At 42.1% G+C, this 20,505-nt stretch overlaps 1 protein-coding gene across 5 annotated transcripts in view, besides 3 other annotated features; it reads right to left on the bottom strand.

The window, feature by feature from the left end:
* Positions 1-20,505, bottom strand: part of LOC107984449 (uncharacterized) — a 97,530-nt gene that overhangs the window by 16,126 nt on the left and 60,899 nt on the right. For 2 of the 5 annotated variants that reach the window (XM_047429961.1, XM_024449290.2), the window contains exon 1: positions 11,647-11,705. The exons of the other annotated variants lie outside the window; for them this stretch is intronic. The gene's annotated coding sequence lies outside the window, so the exon portion shown is untranslated. Of the gene's footprint in view, positions 1-11,646; positions 11,706-20,505 lie in introns of those variants that run through there. 5 annotated transcript variants of the gene reach the window in all.
* Positions 7,493-7,994: an enhancer, noted in NCBI's record as "NANOG hESC enhancer chr12:127618456-127618957 (GRCh37/hg19 assembly coordinates)". NCBI's record gives its function as "activates a minimal SCP1, AML or CMV promoter by ChIP-STARR-seq in naive H9 embryonic stem cells {active_cell/tissue: H9 hESC(naive)}" and the evidence as "EXISTENCE:reporter gene assay evidence [ECO:0000049][PMID:30033119]".
* Positions 14,900-16,099: an enhancer, noted in NCBI's record as "MED14-independent group 3 enhancer chr12:127610351-127611550 (GRCh37/hg19 assembly coordinates)". NCBI's record gives its function as "activates an origin of replication core promoter dependent on BRD2, BRD4, P300/CBP and CDK7 cofactors, and independent of MED14, by STARR-seq in HCT116 cells {active_cell/tissue: HCT116}" and the evidence as "EXISTENCE:reporter gene assay evidence [ECO:0000049][PMID:35650434]".
* Positions 15,965-16,034: an enhancer, noted in NCBI's record as "active region_7325". NCBI's record gives its function as "activates an Ori minimal core promoter by ATAC-STARR-seq in GM12878 lymphoblastoid cells {active_cell/tissue: GM12878}" and the evidence as "EXISTENCE:reporter gene assay evidence [ECO:0000049][PMID:35858748]".

The following is a 20,505-nucleotide window of genomic DNA, read 5'->3' as shown; positions in this document are numbered from 1 at the left end:
CAAGCTGGAAAACACACTTCAGGATATTATCCAGGAGAACTTCCCCAGCCTAGCAGGACAGGCCAACATGCAAATTCAGGAAATACAGAGAACACCATTAAGACTCTCCAGGAGAAGATCAACCCCAAGACACATAATCATCAGATTTTTTCAAGGTCAAAATGAAGGAAAAACTCTTAAAGGCAGCCAGAGAGAAAGGTCAGGTCACCCACAAAGGGAAGCCCGTCAGACTAACAATGGACCTCTCTGCAGAAACTCTACAAGCCAGAAGAGATTGGGGGCCAATATTCAACATTCTTAAAGGAAAGAGTTTTCAACCCAGAATTTCATATCTAGACAAAGTCAGCTTCATAAGTGAAGGAGAAATAAAATCCTTTCCAGACAAGAAAATCCTGAAGGATTTTGTTACCACCAGGCCTGTCCTGCAAGAGCTCTTGAAAGAAGCACTAAACATGGAAAGGAAAAACCGATACCAGCCACTGCAAAAACACACAAAAATATAAAGACCAATGACACTGAAGAAACTACATCAACTCGTGTGCAAAATAACTAGTTAGCATCATGATGACAGGATCAGATTCACACATTACAATGCTAACCTTAAATGTAAATGGGCTAAATGCCCCAATTAAAAGACACAGACTGGCAAATTGGATAAGGAGTCAAGACCCATTGGTGTGCTGCATTCAGGAGACCCATCTTACATGCAAAGACACACACAGGCTCAAAATAAAGGGATGGAAGGAAAATTTAACAAGCAAATGGAAAGCAAAAAAAAGCAGGGGTTGCAATCCTAGTCTCTGACAAAACAGACTTTAAACAAATAAAGATAAAAAAAGACAAAGAAGGGCATTACGTAATAGTAAAGGGAACAATTCAATAAGAAGAGCTAACTATTCTGAATATATATGCACCCAATACCAGAGCACCCATATTCATAAAACAAGTTCTTAGAGACCTACAAAGACACTTAGACTCCCACACAATAATGGGAGATCTTAACACCCCACTGTCAATATTAGACAGATCAATGAGGCAGAAAGTTAACAAGGATATTCAGGACTTGAACTCAGCTCTGGATCAAGTGGACCTAGTAGATGTCTACAGAACTATGTACCCCAAATCAACAGAATATATGTTCTTCTCAGTACCACATGGAACTTATTCTAAAATTGACCACATAATTGGAAGTAAAACACTCCTCAGCAAATGCAAAAGACCTGAAATCATAACAAACAGTCTCTCAGATCACAGTGCAATCAAATTAGAACTCAGGATTAAGAAATTCCCTCAAAACAATACAATTTCAGGGAAATTGAACAACCCGCTCCTGAATGACTCCTGGGTAAATAATGAAATTAAGGCAAAAATCAACAAGTTCTTTGAAACCAATGAGAACAAAGAGACAATGTACCAGAATCTCTGGGACACAGCTAAAGCAGTGTTAAGAAGGAAATTTATAGCACTAAATGCCCACATTAGAAAACTAGAAACTTCTCAAATCAACACTCTAACATCACAATTAAAAGAGCTAGACAGCAAAGAACAAACGAATCCAAAAACTAGCAGAAGACAAGAAATACCTAAGATCAGAGAAGAATTGAAGGAGATAGAGACATGAAAAACCCTCTAAAAATTAATGAATCCAGGAGCTGGGTTTTTGAAAAAGTTAGCATAATAGATAGACTACTAGCTAGACTAATAAAGAAGAGAGAAAAGAATCAAATAGACACAATAAAAAATGATAAAGGGGATATCACCACTGGCCCCACAGAAACACAAACTACTATCAGAGAATAATATAAACACCTCTACGCAAATAAACTAGAAAATCTAGAAGAAATGGATAAATTCCTGGACACATACATCCTACCAAGACTAAACCAGGAAGAAATGGAGTCCCTGAATAGGCCAATAACAAGGTCTGAAATTGAGGCAGTAATTAATAGCCTACCAACCAGAAAAAGCTCAGGACCAGACGGATTCACAGCTGAATTTTACCAGAAATACAGAAAGGAGCTGGTACCATTCCTTCTGAAACTATTTCAAACAGTTGAAAAGGAGGGACTCCTCCCAACTCATTTTATGAAGCAAGCAACATCCTGACACCAAAACCTGGCAGAAACACAACAGAAAAAGAAAACTTCAGGCCAATATCCCTGATGAACATCCATGCAAAAGTCCTCAATAAAATACTGGCAAACTGAATCCAGCAGCACATCAAAAAACTTATCCCCCATGATCAAGTCAGCTTCATCCCTGGGATACAAGGCTGTTCAACATAAACAAATCAATAAACGTAACATAAACAAATCAATAAACGTAATCCATCATATAAGCAGAACCAAAGACAAAAATCACAAGATTTTCCCAATAGATGCAGAAAAGGCCTTTGATAAAATTCAACATCCCTTCATGTTTAATACTCTCAATAAACTAGGTATTGATGGAACATATTTCCAAATAATAAGAGCTATTTATGACAAACCCACAGCAAATATCAAATTCAATGGGCAAAAGCTGAAAGCATTCTCTTTGAAAACCAGTAGAAGACAAGGATGCCCTCTCTCACCACTCCTATTCAACATAGTATTGGAAGTTCTGGCCAGGGAAATCAGGTAAGAGACAGAAATAAAGGGTATTCAAACAGAAAGAGAGGAAGTCAAGTTGTCTTTTTTGCAGATGACATGATTTTATATTTAGAAAACCCTGTCATCTCAGCCCAAAAACTTCTTGAACTGATAAACAACTTCAGCAAAATCTCAGGATACAAAATCAATGTGTAAAAATCACAAGCATTCCTTTACACCAACAATAGGCAAGGAGAGAGCCAAATCATGAATGAACTCCCATTCACAATTGCTAAAAAGAGAAAAAATACCTAGGAATACAGCTAACAGGGGATGTGAAAGGCCTCTTCAAAGAGAACTACAAACCACTGCTCAAGGAAATAAGAGAGGACACAAATAAATGGAAAAACATTCCATCCTCAAGGATGGGAAGAATCAATATTGTGAAAATGGCCATACTGGCCAAAATAATTTATAGATTCAAAGCTATTCTTATCAAACTACCATTGACATTCTTCAGAGAATTAGAAACAAAACTATTTTAAAATTCACATGGAATCAAAGAAGACCTTGTACAGCCAAGACAATCTGAAGCAAAAAAAAAAAAAAAACCTGGAGGCATCATGCTACCTGACTTCAAACTATACTACAAGTCTACAGTAAGCAAAACAGCATGGTACTGGTACCAAAATAGACACATAGACCAATGGAGCAGAACAGAGATTTCAGAAATAACACCACACATCTAAAACCATCTGATCTTCAACAAACTGGACAAAAACAAGCAATGGGGAAAGGATCTCCTATTCAGTAAATGGTGCTGGGAAAACAGGCTAGCCATATGCAGAAAACAGAAACTGGAACCCTTCCTTACACCTTATACAAAAATTTACTCAAGATGGATTAGAGACTTACATGTTAAACCCCAAACCATAAAAACCCTAGAAGAAAACCTAGGCAATACCATTCAGGACATAGGCATGGGCAAAGGCTTCATGACAAAAATGCCAAAAGCATTTGCAACAAAAGTCAAAATTGACAAATGGAATATAATTAAACTAAAGAGCTTCCTCACAGCAAAAGAAATTATCATCAGAATGAACTAGCAACCTACAGATTGGGAGAAAATTTTTGCAATCTAACCATCTGACCAAAATCTAATATCCAGAATTTACAAGGAACATAAACATATTTACAGGAAAAAAACAAACAACCCCATCAAAGGATATGAACAGACACTTCTCAAAAGAAGACATTTATGCGACCAAAAAACTTATTAAAAAAGTTAAACATCGCTGATCATCAGGAAAATTCAAATCAAAACCTCAATGAGATACCATCTCATGCCAGTCAGAATGGCGATTATTAAGGAATACTTGTGATTATTAAGAAGTCAGGAAACAATAGATGCTGGTGAGGCTGTGGAGAAACAGGAATGCTTTTACACTGTTGGTGGGAATGTAAATTAGTTCAACCATTGTGGAAGACAGGATGGTGATTCCTCAAGGATCTAGAACCAGAAATATCATTTGACCCAGCAATCCCATTACTGGGTATATGCCCAGTGGAATATAAATCATTCTGCTATAAAGACACATGCACACATATGTTTACTGCAGCACTGTTTACAATAGGAAAGACATGGAACCAACCCAAATGCCCATCAATGATAGACTGGATAAAGAAAATGTGGTAAATATACACCATGAAATAGTATGCAGTCATAAAAAGGAATGAGATCGTGTCCTTTGAAGGGACATGGATGAAGCTGGAACCCAACATCCTCAGCAAACTAACACAGGAACAGAAAACCAAAAACCACATGTTCTTATTCATAAGTGGGAGTTGAACATTGAGAACACATGGACACAGAGAGGGGAATAACACACACCAGGGCCTGTTGGGGAGTGAGGGGTGAGGGGAGGGAACTTAGAGGACAGGTCAATAGGTGCAGCAAACCACCATGGCACACGTATACCTATGTAACAAACCTGCAGGATCTGCACATGTATCCCATTTTTTTAGAAGAAACAAAGAAAAAGAACACTAATTAGCATATAGAATTAAAAAGTAAAAATAAAGACAAAACCAGAAAAGGCAGAAGGAAACGGAAAAGAAAAAAAGAACAAAGGAATAGTAAACAGTAACAAACATGTAATATTTATATATATATGAGTGTGAATGGTCAAATTATACCAATTAAAAGACAGAGACTGTTATAAACAGTCTATAAACAAACAAGATTTGACTATATATTACCTATAAGAAATCTACTTTAAATATAGAGAATCAGAAAAGTAAAGAGATGGAGAAAGGCATACCATGATAACAACAATCAAAAGAAAGCTGTAGTATCTACATTAATTTCAGGAAAAGCAGACTTCAGAACAAGAAATATTGTCATTGCTAAAGAGCAACATTACATACTGATAAAAGCACAAGGAGTGAATGTATACAAATCAGAAAATATTAGGAGTGCAGGAAATCACAGGATGAAATGCAGAACGTGCCAAAAAATTGAACCATATTACAAATACATGAAACAACTTCTCTGAAGCTTCAGGGATGGGGGTTACTGACCTAAATTACTTTGGAAGTTTAGTGGAGTCTTTAAAACTCAACAAAATGTACTGCACAGAAACATTGTACTTTATTTGATAGAACTGTTTTTCACATGGGTTGATGTTGACAATTGTAAAACCACTCTAACATGTATTCTGGAAATAAATATGTAAATGGACTGTATACAGTGGGGTCCAGGTTTTTCACATTAAGAACTTACAGCTGAACAAGGAAGGAGGGTGTGATGATCTATATAATAATAGATTAGAGCTGAGAGCATCCATATGAAATAATATTTACTTCAACATAGATATATCTGTGTAAGGTAGCATGTGGATATATTCATAGATGCATGCATGTGGGTTAGTATATGCATATATATTTCTTTGCTCTGTCAGCTCAGAGGAAATAGAAAGAACACCCCAATATGAATGAGCACACTACAGCCCCAATGTTGGTTTCTTACATCATATAAATAACAGAACCTAGTATCTTTGGAGAAATGTCTGACTTTATGACCAGGGTAGGAAATACATAAGATGATCCTGGAGCATCTCATAGTACAAGTAAGTAACGAAGAGCTTAAAAAAAAAAAATTGTGATGTCAACATGATGGAGAGCCAGCTGAGGGCTCCCAAGGGCCAAGCCTGGGACAATATGAGCAAAGAAATAAATGAAATAGTATTATAACCCAAATATGAAATTAACATCCAGGAGTGAACACTGACATAACTGGGAGAGAATGGACAAATCTGTGCAGAGGCATTCCATGTCATTTATGTAGATAGCCAATCTTCAAGAAGTGAGTATAACTTACTGCTCCTTAAGCTTTGGACTATGCATAGTAACGTCCTTCCAAAGAGAAAAGTATGGAAATCAGAGGGAAAGTAATTGTACAGTGGAGAATCACAACAAGCACTACTTAGCCAAAGGATCAAGTTTAATAACATCAGTAGTGATAAAGTCACATGATGATATATACCCTTGATATGATATGACAAGAATGGCACTTGACTGTGTGGTCTTTCTCCCCCAAACACATCACTCCTGTCTATTCACAAGAAAAACACCAGGTGTATCTCAATGGAGGGACATTTCACAGACTACCTGATCATTTAAGGAATACCAGAATTTCTTTTTTGTTGGTTAACTTGTATTTTAAGTTCAGGGGCACATTGTGCAGGTTTGATGCATAGGAAAACATGTGTCCTGGGGGTTTGTTCTACAGATTATATTATCACCCAGGTATTAAGCCTAGTACCCATTAGTTATTTTTCCTTATCCTCCTCGTCCTCCCACCTTCCACCCTCTGATAGGCCCCAGTGTGTGTTGTTTCCCTCTATTTGTCCATGTGCTCTTATCATTTAGCTCCCACTTATAAGTGAGAGCATGCAGGATTTGGTGTTCTGTTCCTGTGTCAGTCTGCTAAGGATAATGGCCTCCAGCTCCGTCCATGTCCCTGCAAAGGACATGATCTCATTCTTGTTTATGGCTGCATAGTATTCCATGGTGTATATGTGCCACATTTTCTTTATCCAGCCTGTCATCGATGGGCATTTAGGTTGATTCCATGTCTTTGCTATTGCAAATAGTGCTGCAATGAACATAACTGTGCAGGTGTCTTTATAATATAATGATTTAGAACTAGAGAAAAGTATTTTAAAATTCATGATGAACTATAAAAGAGCCCAAATAGCCAATGCAATCCTAAGCAAAAAGAACAAAGCTGGAGGCATCATGCTAACCAACTTCAAACTATACTACAGGGCTACAGTAACCAAAACAGCATGGTACTGGTATCAGAATTTCTTAAAAGTGTAAAGGTTATCAAATAAAAAAGAAAAGAAAAGTCTGAGAAATTGTTACAGGCAAGAGAAGCCTAAGGAGACATAACTAATGTGATATTCTGGATAGAATAGTGGAACATGAAAAGGATATTAGGGAAAGACTGAGGAAATCTGAAGAGAGAATGGACTTCATTTAATGACAATATACTTGTATTTTGTCATTCATTGTGGTAAGCATATCATGATAATGGAAGATGTAGTAGAGTAAGAGTGTATGGGAAAACTGTATCATCCAATTTTCTGTAAATCTAAAACAGTTTGAAATTAAAAGGTTTATAGAAAGAACAATAAACTTTAAACTATCAAAAAAAGAAAAGGAAAATCAGAATCATAATTAGAAAATAGGTTCAGGAAATGAAAGCCACTTGCTGTATCTGTCTGTGTTTTCTCACAAAGCTTTTTGTTTGTTCATTTGTTTTTCTTAACTTACCATGTTTAAAATAATTATAGTGATATAACGTGAAGGTCAGGAGTTTCTGTGCTGCAGCCTGAATGTGCTATAGAAGTAAGAAAATTGCAAGGTATCAGACCCTTTTCAGGCAGAAATTTGTTTCTATCTAGGTGTTAAAATGAGTTGTGATAATAGTGGAAAGCTTGATGCTGTGTAACAAAGACCAAACGTGTGCTACATATACCCAGGTATTCCCCTACGCTTCCCGGGGTCCTCTGGTAGTAAGTTGGGGCCATCTGGCTATTCCTCACCTGTGGACTCAGCATGATTGATTTGCGGCAATCCTGGCTGAGGCAGGTAAGGGCGGGTGCGCCTCCTGTGGATCATTGTTTCACTTGCTGCAATGAAAGGAGTGGCCTGACCATGCCGGACTTACAGGAGAAGTAAAATTTCACTGCCTTAAGGCAATAAGGTCTCAGGAGTTCCCTTTTTCAGCAACTGGCATTAATTCCTCTAATGAGGAATGCCTCGTACTGACTTTCCCCAAGTCACAGAGCGCATTCTATCCAATACAGGCATGAAAAGTGTGCAGGCAGGGGGAGCCAAAAATAGGATTTCTGAGCCAGAGCCTGTGACTGAGGTGAGAAAAGTAAAGGTCCCAGTCTTAAAATAGCCTGCACATTTCAGAATGGCATTACTCCCAGCCCCAGGGAGGAACACAGCTCCCTCTGTGAGGAGTGATGAATTATGACCACGTGGGAGATGCATATTTCATAAGTCCTTCTACTTTTATGAATGGTGGCTGAACTGTAAATATAGCTGGAGCTAGAGTCTGACATTTCACACGTCTTAAATTAAAACAAAAAAAAATGACTCCTTCTTTAGCCTTTTACTTCTAAGTAAAATAAAATATCCTGTAATCCCAGCACTTTGGGAGGCCGAGGCCAGCCGATCACCTGAAGTCAGGAGTTTGAGACCAGCCTGACCAACATGGTGAAACCCCATCTCTAGTAAAATACAAAATTAGCTGGGCGTGGTGGTGCATGCCTGTAATCCTGGCTGCTCGGGAAGCTGAGGCAGGAGAATAGCTTGAACCCAGGAGGTGGAGGCTGCAGTGAGCCGAGATCACACCAATGCACTGTAGCCTGGGCGAAGACGGAGCGAAACTCCATCTCAAAAAATAAAATAAAATAAAATATCAGGGATTTTAGAACAGTTGTTTTCTTATTCTTGCAGGTAAGGCATATATTTAGTTGCTACTATGTGACAGAGACTGTGTAAAACCCTGAAAATTCAGGTTTAAATAAGAGACATTCCCCTTCCTCAAGGAGTTCATATTTTAAGAGACTGAGTAATACATAAGTAATTTAGATATACGATGTCCAGTGCTACAATAGAGGTCTGCATAGAGTGTTAGGAAACACAGAAGAGGTGGACTTAGCCAGCAAAGAGGTTCACAAAAAGTTTTCAGAAGAGATAATGACACTGGCAAAAGGAATGGAAGAGGAATTTCAGGTTGAAGATGTGTGAGCAAGAACAAACATTTGAAAAATTATAGTATGTAGGGACATGATTATCACATAAGTCACTTATGTGTTACTGTATGTCATAGACTATTTTAACTTTTCTTCCATGTGTTAAGTTGTTTAATTACATTTCGTTTGGTATCATGAGACTACTAAGTACAAGGGTAGGAACAGCATGAGGTCAGATTTAGTGGTACTAATCACAGGTAAAATTACACTTTATTGATGGGAAATATATGTGAAGTTAAACTTAGAAAACAATAAGCATTTGATTAAAGGGCTTCTAAGAACACACTTTTGTGGTATGTATATTGGGAAACAGGCTGTTATTTAAGTAGGATGTATTATACCTGGAATTTTAATCATATACCTCTTATCAAAGAGTGTACTTTCATTTTAGACTGGGATGACATATATTTTAAAGCTCAGAATCATTTTCAGAAATACTGTGGCTCATGTGATTAAAAGCTAAACTTGTATTCAAATTATTTTTTAGATTTTTAAAAAATAAGGTGTAGAATTGGAACCTTTGATAATACCTTTGACATATAAAGAATCCAAACAAATGAAAAAGAGACAAATGAACAAATAACAAGAATGGATAATTGACTAAAGAAGAAACATAAACAAGCACTACAGAAATGAAAGATGTTCAAGCTTACCAAAAATCAAATATGTGTGAATTTTGATGACAAAATTACTATACATTAGTTACATTAATACATATGTAGAAATACAATCATAGTAAAAAGTGTGAAATATATCAAGAGACCAACACCCACATATGCTGCTAGTGAGGTCCTGAGTTATTTCAAGTGTTTTCTAAGACATTTTTACAACACATATCAAAAACTTTGGAAAATAGATTACCTTTAACAGAAGTCTCAGTTATTGACATTTACCCTAAGGAATTAATCACATATTGTTTTCAAGAACTTCAGTTCAAATATTTTCACATCCACATTGTTTATAATAGTGTAAAATTGGGGATAACCTAAAGATCTAACAATAAATGGTATTTTAGTCACATGCTGCAAATTAGAAGGCCAAAAGATAATTATAGCCTGCAGACACTGTTTGTTTCTACAATTCAGTGATTTAAATTAAATTCGACTGGTTGCAAATACTTATATTTGCAAACACCCATCCCTCTACATTTTGTGTGTGTGGTAAGAGGCACCCGATTTTATGGAGTGAAGACTTCTCCCCTATTCTCAGTCCATGTGATTCAGGTGGTCTCTACGTCCAGACTCAGGGATGGATCATGGAACCCAGATATGACTAGTCAGATGGTTCCCACAGTCACAGATATTATCGCTGGATGGGCCCAGATTGGTCTAAGCAGAGTGAATCTGGGTATTTTTTTTCTGGAGCCACGAGAGAGAGATGATTTCTTTTCTGTTTAAAATGTTAAAAGTGGATGGTATGTCCTGAATCTATAAGGCTACATCAAATGGACTCACCCAGCCCAGCAGAAGATGGAATGAAGAGAGGGAGTAAAACTGAGTCACGAAGCCCAGGTTCTAGGCAAGCCTGAGGTGAGCCAGTTCAGACCCTGGTCTTTTCAGTGATGTGAGTCAACAAACAACAACCTCTAGTAGCTGTTTTTCCTTTTTCAGTTAAAACATGTGGAACTGGAATTTATGTTACTTGTGTCTGTAGAATGTTCGAACTGAGAGAGAGAAAACAAAACAAAATAAAAACATCCACCAGGGAACAAAATCCCCCCCCTCCCACCTTCATTACTTCTTTACAAAGCCACACTGAAGCCTGCTCTTCGTGGCAATTGGCACCAATGACGGCATTTTCAATTTCTTTTTAAATCTATTGACTTAGCTGACATTACAAAGATGGAGAAGACTGTAAGGGCAAGTCATTGCTGTAGTATTGCAGAAGAAGATCAGTGCATTTGGAATTTCTGAACCCCCAGAGATAATGATTCCAGCAGCCTGCAGAGATTTCTGAAATGCATAAATACAAACCTCAGCAAACCATGGCCCACACAAGAGGGAGGGGCCGAGGCTTCAGCGCACGGTTTTAACTGGAAATGAGCGGAGATAAATAGATTCTAGGGCCATGCCTTTATTTAAATAGAAGGATGATTTAGCCAGCCACGGTGACTCACGCCTGTAAGCCCAACGCTTTGGGAGACTGAGGTGGGCAGATCACTTGAGGTCAGGAGTTCGAGACCAGCCTGGCTGACATGGCAAAACCCCATCTCTACTAAAAGTACAAAAATTAGCTGGGTGGTGTGGCAGGTGCCTGTAATCCCGGCTACTCTGGAGGCTGAGGCCAGGAATTGCTTAAACACAGGAGGCAGAGGTTGCAGTGAGCCAAGATTGCACCACTGCACTCTGGCCTGGGTGACCGAGTGAGACTCCATTTCAAAAAAAAAATAATAATAATAATAGAGAAAAGTGATTTAGTAATATTGTATTAACAATTCACAAAAGGGCATTAGGAATACAGAGAAACTTTAATAATCGCCACAAAATACAGACAACTGGAGATAAAATGAGTGCATATGATGATCTATTAGGGATTTGCATTCTTTCACGTCTCTCTCTCTCTCTCTCCCTCTCTCTCTCTCTCTTTCCCTTCCATTCAGTAAAGACAACCATCTTAAGTAACACCTGGCTCTTATTGAGAAAAAAAAATCTGCCTATTTTCTGTATCATAAAACATTTAGTTAGTAAAGTTCAAGCAATTTTATCTGGTCCCCTTCAGAGAAAAAAGAATATGCTACTTACCTGCCCATAACTTCATCCTCTCTCTATTCTCTGCCTCTCCAGTAGGGCTGCTCTGTTCTGAGACCTTGGTGGTCAACAGCAGCCGGACATCCTATGCTAATTAGGTACAGCCCCCAGGACTGGCCATCCTTGGTTGGCTATGGAAACACTGACTCTATGAGCCTAGAGATTGGACTTTTCCCCAGAAAATAATAAAAACTGTATCTGTCTTTCCATATTTTATTTGTTCTTGTACATTGATCCGCCTCTGAGCTGAGGAAAGGGAAGCGGGAAGCTGCTTTTTTTTTTTTTCTTTGAAACTGTGTCTCACTCTGTCGCCAGGCTGGAGCGCAGTGACGCAATCTCGGCTCACTGCAACCTCTGCCTGCCAAGTTCAAACGATTCTCCCGCCGCAGCCTACTGAGTAGCTGGGATTACAGGCATGCACCACTACGCCCTGCTAATTTTTGTATTTTTAGTAGAGACAGGGTTTCACCATGTTGGCCAGGATGGTCTTGGTCTCCTGACCTTGTGATCCACCCGCCTCGGCCTTCCAAAGTGCTGGGATTACAGGCATGAGCCACCGCGCCCAGCAGGGAAGCTGCCTTTAATCACCTGTATTCCTAAATGGCTAAGATTAGATGAGGCCACCAACGTAGACTCATCCAGTTCCTTCACTCAACTTTGACTTCCATGAGGGCAGCATCAACACTTTAGACAGAAAAAGAGGTAGAAATGAATAGTAAACTTCACTTGTAGGAGAAACCTTTCTTATTTTCTCCTGTGACTCCAATGCTATTTTTAAAATAAAAAAGATAGATTTCATTTGAATTAAAATAAATAGATCCAAAGAATGCTTAGACCTGCAGCCAATGGCTCTTGGTGGGTCTGGTTCTCTGGATGAACATGCAGTAACTAATTTATTATTCCAGGAAATCCACTTCCCACCTTTGTTTCAGAAGCACAAATATTCTTTATTGTACTGTGTCGGGGTGCTGCAGTGGCTGTTGATGCTAACTTTTGCTTACTTGCAAATAAGTTTGTGTATGTTTTGTGCACACCAGGCATTTGAAGATTCAACCCTGTCACTAAAAGACAGCTTTTATTTTAACCCTGTTGTGAGCCTTTCAGGCCTTAGGTGCACAGAGGGTTTACCTGGAGGAAGTCATGGGGAAGGAGCTGGCCCCAGCTCTGAGGGCTCCTGTTTTTGTAGGTTCCTCACCAGCCTCCAGGGTTACAGCCTGAAGCCTGCCTGGCATCCTAGAGAGGCATAAACGCCTATAATGCCTCTCTAGTGGGCTCCTCTTAGACTCGGGGAAGATCTCGTTTCATGATGCTTGAGGAATCTCAGTTTTCCCTTGCTCTGTAATGAAGGCTTGGAAATGTTTCCTATTACATCACAAATCCCCGCTCTTCCTTAGTGAGCCTTTGATTCCTGAAGTAGCTCTTATGTGCCTGAAACCATGGAATGTCTTCTCATGCGACAATTAGAGAGAAAGGCTAGCATTTGTTTACTCTTTGTGCATGTAATTGTATTGCCAACCTTTCCTTAGAGTTGTATCTTGTTAATATTTTGTCAGTTGAATTTTGGCATCGTTCTCAGGTTTTGGCAGAATTGGAATAGTCATTAGCTAGCTGTCCCCATTCAAATAAGACTGCAGAAAAAGGAAGGAACAAATGTGAGTAAATCAAAGAGCTTTTCCTTTTCCCTGATTTTGTTGATTGCAATTCCCATATCTTGGTTCAGCTATCTCATTAGTGGATTCTGATGAAATTATTGAAGAAATTGAAGAGCTTTTGATACTCCTATACAGACCAATGAAAACAAGTCATTTGTAAGTAGTTTCTCAACACAGATTGCTGGATCCTTTAAAATCTGTGTTTCTCTTGCTCAGAGAGGAAACTGAGATCATCCCTCTCATTGTCATCAAGATAGAGCAGGCAGAGGGTGCCACCGACTCATCTGGGTGCCTTGACTGAAGTCCCAGAGGCCCCTCAGCCTCAGCGCACGTGCAGACCTGCAAGATTTCTCAGGGGGTTATTTCCTGATAGAACATCTTTCTCTTTCCAAGGCATTTCTTTGACTTATTCATAAATTTAACAGGTATCTACTGACTTCTGTCTGTGGCTTGGCCTTGTGCCCATCCCAGGGGTTAGAGTCAAAAGTCAGCCTCTATGCAGCCCTCATGGAAGTCAAAGTCCAGTGTAGGAGCTGGACGAGTCAAGGGTGGTGGCCTCTACTCCTTTTTTTGTATGGGGATGTTTTGCAAAAACAGCTGCTTTCAACATGTGCCCTGCCCAGAGAGCACCTGCACCATCTCATGCCAGTCCTAGGCAGGTAGCCTCTTTCTTGCATCTTCTATCTTCTCCCTCTACAACTCATCACCAACCTGGATGGAAGGGAGGGGAGACAAAGCAGGAGAAAAGAAGCCCCCTCTCTTCTCCCACAGCGTGTCCAGAGGGATAAGAGAGAGTCTGGGTATGCAGGTTGCTAACCCAGGATGGCTTATTTAAACAGTAAGCAAGAACATACACAAAAACAAACAAAATGAAAACTTTCATTGGACTTCTGTTGAAAATCCAGGAGACTATTATGTCTCAGAAGCCCACATTTCTATGGGGTGACCACTGGCTGGAGCTGTCGCCCCCTTAGACAGATCAGTTCCTCCTCCTGTCACTGCAGCCCACTCTGCTGCTCTGGGTTCTGTCATGAGCTGGATTGTGTGTGCTCATAATACGTATGTTCAACTTCTCACCTTCAGGACCTCAGAATATAACTGTATTTGAAGAGAGGGTCTTTAGAGAAGTGGTAATTTAATAAAAATGAGGTTGTTATGGCAGGTCCTAATCCAATCTGACTGGTGCCTTTATAAGAAATGGAGATTAGGCCAGACACGGTGGCTCACACCTGTAACCCTAGCAGTTTGGGAGGCTGAGGCCAGCGGATCACCTGAGGTCAGGAGTTTGAGACCAGCCTGGCCAATGTGGTGAAACCCCTATCTCTACTAAAAAAAAAAAAAAAAAGTAGCTGGATGTGATGACAGGTGCCTGTGAACTCTGGAAGCTGAGGCAGGAGAATCACTTGAACCTGGGAGGCGGAGATTGTAGTGAGCCAAGATTGCACCACTGCACATCAGACCGAGCAACAGAGTGAGACTCCATCACAAAAAACAAAAAAAGAAAAGAAAAGAAAAAGAAAAAAGAAAAAAAAAGGAGATTAGGATACAGACACTGAGTAGACTATGTGGGGACACAGGGAGAAGACGGCCACCTACAAGCCAAGGAGAGAGGCCTCAGAAGAAAGTCACCCTACAGACACCTTGATCTCAGACTTCCAGCCTCCAGAACTGTGAGGAAATGCATTTATGCTGTTTAAGCCACCCAGTCTGTGGAGCTTTGTTATGTCAGTTTGAGCAAATTAATATAAATTTCCATTGCTATGCCTCTTCCTTTTGACCCATGTATCTGATCTTCCTGGAGATTGTAGGCCATTTGGATGTGTGATTTTGATTTGAACTCATTTTTCATAGGTTTAATATACAAAGTTTTGCAATATGCAAGTGTAGTAGGGCTCCTAAAAATGTCCATAGGCTAGTCCCTGGAGCTGTTGAACATGTTATTTTGTAAAAGGGACTTTGCAGATGTGATTCAGTGCCTTGAATTGGGAGATCACCCAGGATTATCTGTGTGAGTCCTGTGTAATCATGTTTTCTAATAAGGAGAAGGACTGAGGGTCAGAGTCAGAGGAGAGGTGACCACAATAGCAGAGGTTAGAGTGTCAGGAGTGCTGGCAGAGGGACCTAAGGAAAGGACTGCAGGTGGCCTCTGGAAACTGGAAAACACAGCCAGGAGTACGCTCTCCCCTGGAGCCTCCGACAGGAACACAGAGCCAGGAGTAGATGCTCCCCTGGAGCCTCCAACAGGAACACAGCCCTGCTGATAGCTTGATTTCAGCCACACAGACTAATTTCTAGACTCTGACCTCTAAAAGTATAAGACAGCAAACTGATATTGTTTTAAGCCACCTTGCTTATTCATTTGTGAATATGGGCATCACTGACTCATCCCACTGGGATGTACACTGCCCAAGGCAGGAATCTTGCCTATCTTGTTTCATGCTGTGTCTGTGGCACCTAGAACAGTGCCTAGCACACACAATTACAAAAACAAAACAAAACAAAAACACAAAGTGCTCAGTAAAGTCCTGCTAAGCAAATGACTCATCCACATTTCCCAGCCATGGAGGAGTAGAGATGACACGCCCATCAGGCCATTCCACTCACTGGGAAACCCCCATGACTTGCACCTTTGCCTGAGGTTGGATGCAGAACCCTGTGGGCAGGAAGATAGACCGATGCTGTTGAGTGAATGATGATTAACTGAGTTCCATGTTTATGCATTTACAACACAGCAGGCTCTAAGTTAAGCATCTCTCATTTACTTCTCAGGACAGTCCTACAATACAGGTACTTTGATCATCCCCAGAGTGCCTAGGAGACAGGCTCACCAGTGAGGAGTGATGCAGCCCAGGACTCACAGTGGTGAGTAATATTCAAAATGCAAGCTGTTGCCTGCATATGGTCTGTGTGTGTCTCCATGACCGTGTTGTATATGGCAGCTGCTGTGGGGTAGAAACCCCCTAGTGGTTTTGGTGTCCTGAGAGCTGAGTTTAATATTCTACATCACTGCTGTGATACAGAGTCTGATTCCATTTTTAATGGTTGGCCCCTGACCCCTTTCAAGCCCCCACCCTCACCTGTCCTGGTAAGAAAGTCCAGCATCGCCTCCCTCAGCACTGTAGGGAGTTGAGCCATGCAAGCCAGGACTTGTGCACTGGAGCCCACCCCAGCCTGCCTCCCATTAGCAATCAGAGGCAAGGCTGCCCTCCCTCTATCCCCCACCCTCTATCCCCCACCCTCTATCCCCCTCCCTCTATCCCCTCCCTCTATCCCCTCCCTCTATCCCCCACCCTCTATCCCCCTCCCTCTATCCCCCACCCTCTATCCCCCACCCTCTATCCCCCACCCTCTATCCCCCCTCCCTCTATCCCCCACCCTCTGTCCCCCCCTCTATCCCCCACCCTCTATCCCCCACGCTCTATCCCCCTACCTCTATCACCCACCCTCTATCCCCCTCCCTCTATCCCCTCCCTCTATCCCCCTCCCTTTATCCCCCACCCTCTATCCCCCCTCCATCCCCCACCCTCTATCCCCCTCCCTCTATCCCCTACCCTCTATCCCCAACGCTCTATCCCCCTACCTCTATCCCCCTCCCTCTATCCCCCACCCTCTATCCCCCACCCTCTATCCCCACCCTCTATCCCCTCCATCCCCCACCCTCTATCCCCCTCCCTCTATCCCCCACCCTCTATCCCCCCTCCCTCTGTCCCCCCCTCTATCCCCTCCCTCTATCCCCCACCTTCTATCCCCCACCCTCTATCCCCCACCCTCTATCCCCCCACCCTCTATCTGCCACCCTCTATCCCCCTCCCTCTATCCTCCACCCTCTATCCTCCATGCTCTATCCCCCACCCTCTATCCCCCTCCCTCTATCCCCCACCCTCTATCCCCCTCCCTCTATCCCCCACCCTCTATCCCCCACCCTCTATCCCCCTCCCTCTATCCCCCACCCTCTATCCCCCTCCCTCTATCCCCCCACCCTCTATCCCCTCCCTCTATCCCCCACCCTCTATCCCCCTCCCTCTATCCCCCACCCTCTATCCCCCACCCTCTATCCCCCTTCCCTCTATCCCCCACCCTCTGTCCCCCCCTCTATCCCCCACCCTCTATCCCCCACACTCTATCCCCCTACCTCTATCCCCCACCCTCTATCCCCCTCCCTCTATCCCCTCCCTCTATCCCCCTCCCTCTATCCCCCACCCTCTATCCCCCTCCCTCTATCCCCTCCCTCTATCCCCCACCCTTTATCCCCTCCCTCTATCCCCCTCCATCCCCCACCCTCTATCCCCCTCCCTCTATCCCCCACCCTCTATCCCCCACCCTCTATCCCCCACCCTCTGTCCCCCCCTCTATCCCCCACCCTCTATCCCCCATGCTCTATCCCCCTACCTCTATCCCCCACCCTCTATCCCCCTCCCTCTATCCCCTCCCTCTATCCCCCACCCTTTATCCCCTCCCTCTATCCCCCTCCATCCCCCACCCTCTATCCCCCACCCTCTATCCCCCCTCCATCCCCCACCCTCTATCCCCCTCCCTCTATCCCCCTCCCTCTATCCCCTACCCTCTATCCCCAACGCTCTATCCCCCTACCTCTATCCCCCTCCCTCTATCCCCCACCCTCTATCCCCCTCCCTCTGTCCCCCCCTCTATCCCCTCCCTCTATCCCCCACCCTCTATCCCCCATGCTCTATCCCACACCCTCTATCCCCCCACCCTCTATCTGCCACCCTCTATCCCCCTCCCTCTATCCTCCACCCTCTATCCTCCATGCTCTATCCCCCACCCTCTATCCCCCTCCCTCTATCCCCCACCCTCTATCCCCCTCCCTCTATCCCCCACCCTCTATCCCCCTCCCTCTATCCCCCCACCCTCTATCCCCCTCCCTCTATCCCCCACCCTCTATCCTCCTCCCTCTATCCCCCTCCCTCTATCCCCCACCCTTTATCCCCCATGCTCTATCCCCCTACCTCTATCCCCCACCATCTATCCCCCTCCCTCTATCCCCCACCCTCTATCCCCCTCCACCCCCCACCCTCTATTCCCCTCCCTCTATCCCCCACCCTCTATCCCCCACCCTCTGCTCCACTCAAGCCATGGGCTCCATTGGTACTAGGAACAATCCTGCTGTCCCCAAAAGTCCCAGTTGTGACTAATAAACTGTTACATACATTTTATGTGCATTTTTGGATCAACAATCTCAACACTGGTCTCAGCATCCTAACCAATGTGTGGAGGGACTGGGGACAGGTAGGTCTTCCCTCCACCAGAAAACCACAAGTCAACTACTTAATATCTGAGTTACCTTGCAACGAGTGTCTCTAACCACACCTTACTTTCCTGGATCGTAAAATGGTGAGAATGAAATTCCCTACCACAGAAGCTCACAGGGAAAAACCCTCTTTGAAGCATTGCATATAGGGTATGTACTAGTGATGCTAATAGTGACGGCAGAGAAGAAACTCATATTTAGAATTTTATTTTTTTACTCCATGAAGCCATGGGAAACAGATGAGAACAATTTGGGCTCTTGCTAAATGAGGATGAAAAAGAACTAACTGTCCTGACATGTCACCATGGCTATGGTTATTTAGGTCCAGTCCTCACTGAAGGACTGATGAGTTATGCTGAACCTCCTTGAGGGCAGACAATCTACATAAATTACCTGGAATTATTCTACACAAGAGACTTGTTTCTTCTCTTCTATTGATTGATTTAAGCATTTATGTCAAGATGTCTCATGAATATTTTCTTTGTACTTTGGGTTACCCAAAAGTATTTTATTTATTTTGTTGCATGAATTTGTCTAGCACTGGCTGCTGAGAACGCTTTCAGTTTGTACCTTTGCATACCCCCAACAATGATTTTTTTTTTCTTTTGAGCACTTCCTTACGTTCTGGCACAACAAGATGCTCCAGCCTCATTTTACATATTCTCTGTCTCAGTCCTAGAATCAGTCATTTTCCCAGGAAACTGTGGTTCTTTTCATGGGAGAATGGTATTAAAAATCAACATCTGGATTCTGGGTAGGCTTGCTTCTAAATAGGTAGACCTTCTTTTCCTATAATGGAGTTACATCACACACGCATTGCATCAATTATGTGTGTGTGTGTGTGTTTGAAAAAGAGAGAGAGAGATCAGACAGTGCTGTGTATTGCTCTACTAAAGTAGCTCATGTGAGATGTACAGCAAATGCTTCCTCAACTTGTCAAGCCATTATAAAATAACTTATATATTAGTTTTCTATACTGTCTAAGATCTTACCGTAAATTTGGAGGCTTACAATTTATGAGCTCGTGGTTCTGGGGGCCAGAAGTCCAGGCAGACATGACGAGGTTCTCTGTTCAGTCTCACAAGGCCGACATCTAGGTATTGACCTGATGGGGCTCTTTTAATCTTTTTTTTTTTATTTTAAGTTTTCTCAGTCATCTCTGTGTCTCTCTCTGGTAATGGTCCAGGACTTATGTCTATGTATTATGTGACAGCTTAGACAGTGCTGAGGATTCAGTCTTTGCCCTGATGAGAAAGCATATACCTCCTGGGCTTTCTTGCAGTCATTTCTTGCCCATTTTTCTTATGAAAAATATTTGGCTGCTCCAGTCACTGCACTTGATGAGATTAAAGTCTGTAGCTGTCTCAGGCGCAACTAGCTAAAAACACATCATGACATCTTTCTCCAAAGCCATTTTTAGAACAAATTATTGAAGCCTTGGCACCCCTCCATGACATTCCCTGGGAAAGACAGCAGGACTCTGTTTCTGTCCTGGGACATACCAGGTAAAGGCTCAGGATTGTTGAGGGAAGATAGAAGGCTGAAAGCGGGACCCTTCTCAGCGACACACACTCCCATATTTCCGTGTCTTATTTCCCTTTTAACTGCCCTTCCTTTGTGAAGCAATAAAGACCCCCTGGTCTTAATGGAATGAGAGAAGGATAACCTTATGGGCTTTAGTGCCACAAAATGCATTAGTTGTCATGTCAAAATGAAATCCCCTATAATGAGCAGAGAGAAACCCAGAAGTGAATATTGATGTGATGTATAGGCAAGGAAGGCTTCTGTATCATACAAGCTAAAGAATAAACCATAAAAAATAACTTAGCTACAAAACAGTTTAAAATATCTGTTTATCACATTAGACCAAAATCAAAACTAAAATTTAAATGACATGTTGGGAAAACTATTTTCAAACTTTTTAACAAAGAA

This window comes from Homo sapiens, chromosome 12, assembly GCF_000001405.40.
Source record: "Homo sapiens chromosome 12, GRCh38.p14 Primary Assembly".
Classification (NCBI taxonomy): domain Eukaryota; kingdom Metazoa; phylum Chordata; class Mammalia; order Primates; family Hominidae; genus Homo; species Homo sapiens.
The sequence above is the reverse complement of the archived record's forward strand: the minus strand, read 5'-3'. Positions and strand labels throughout refer to the sequence as shown.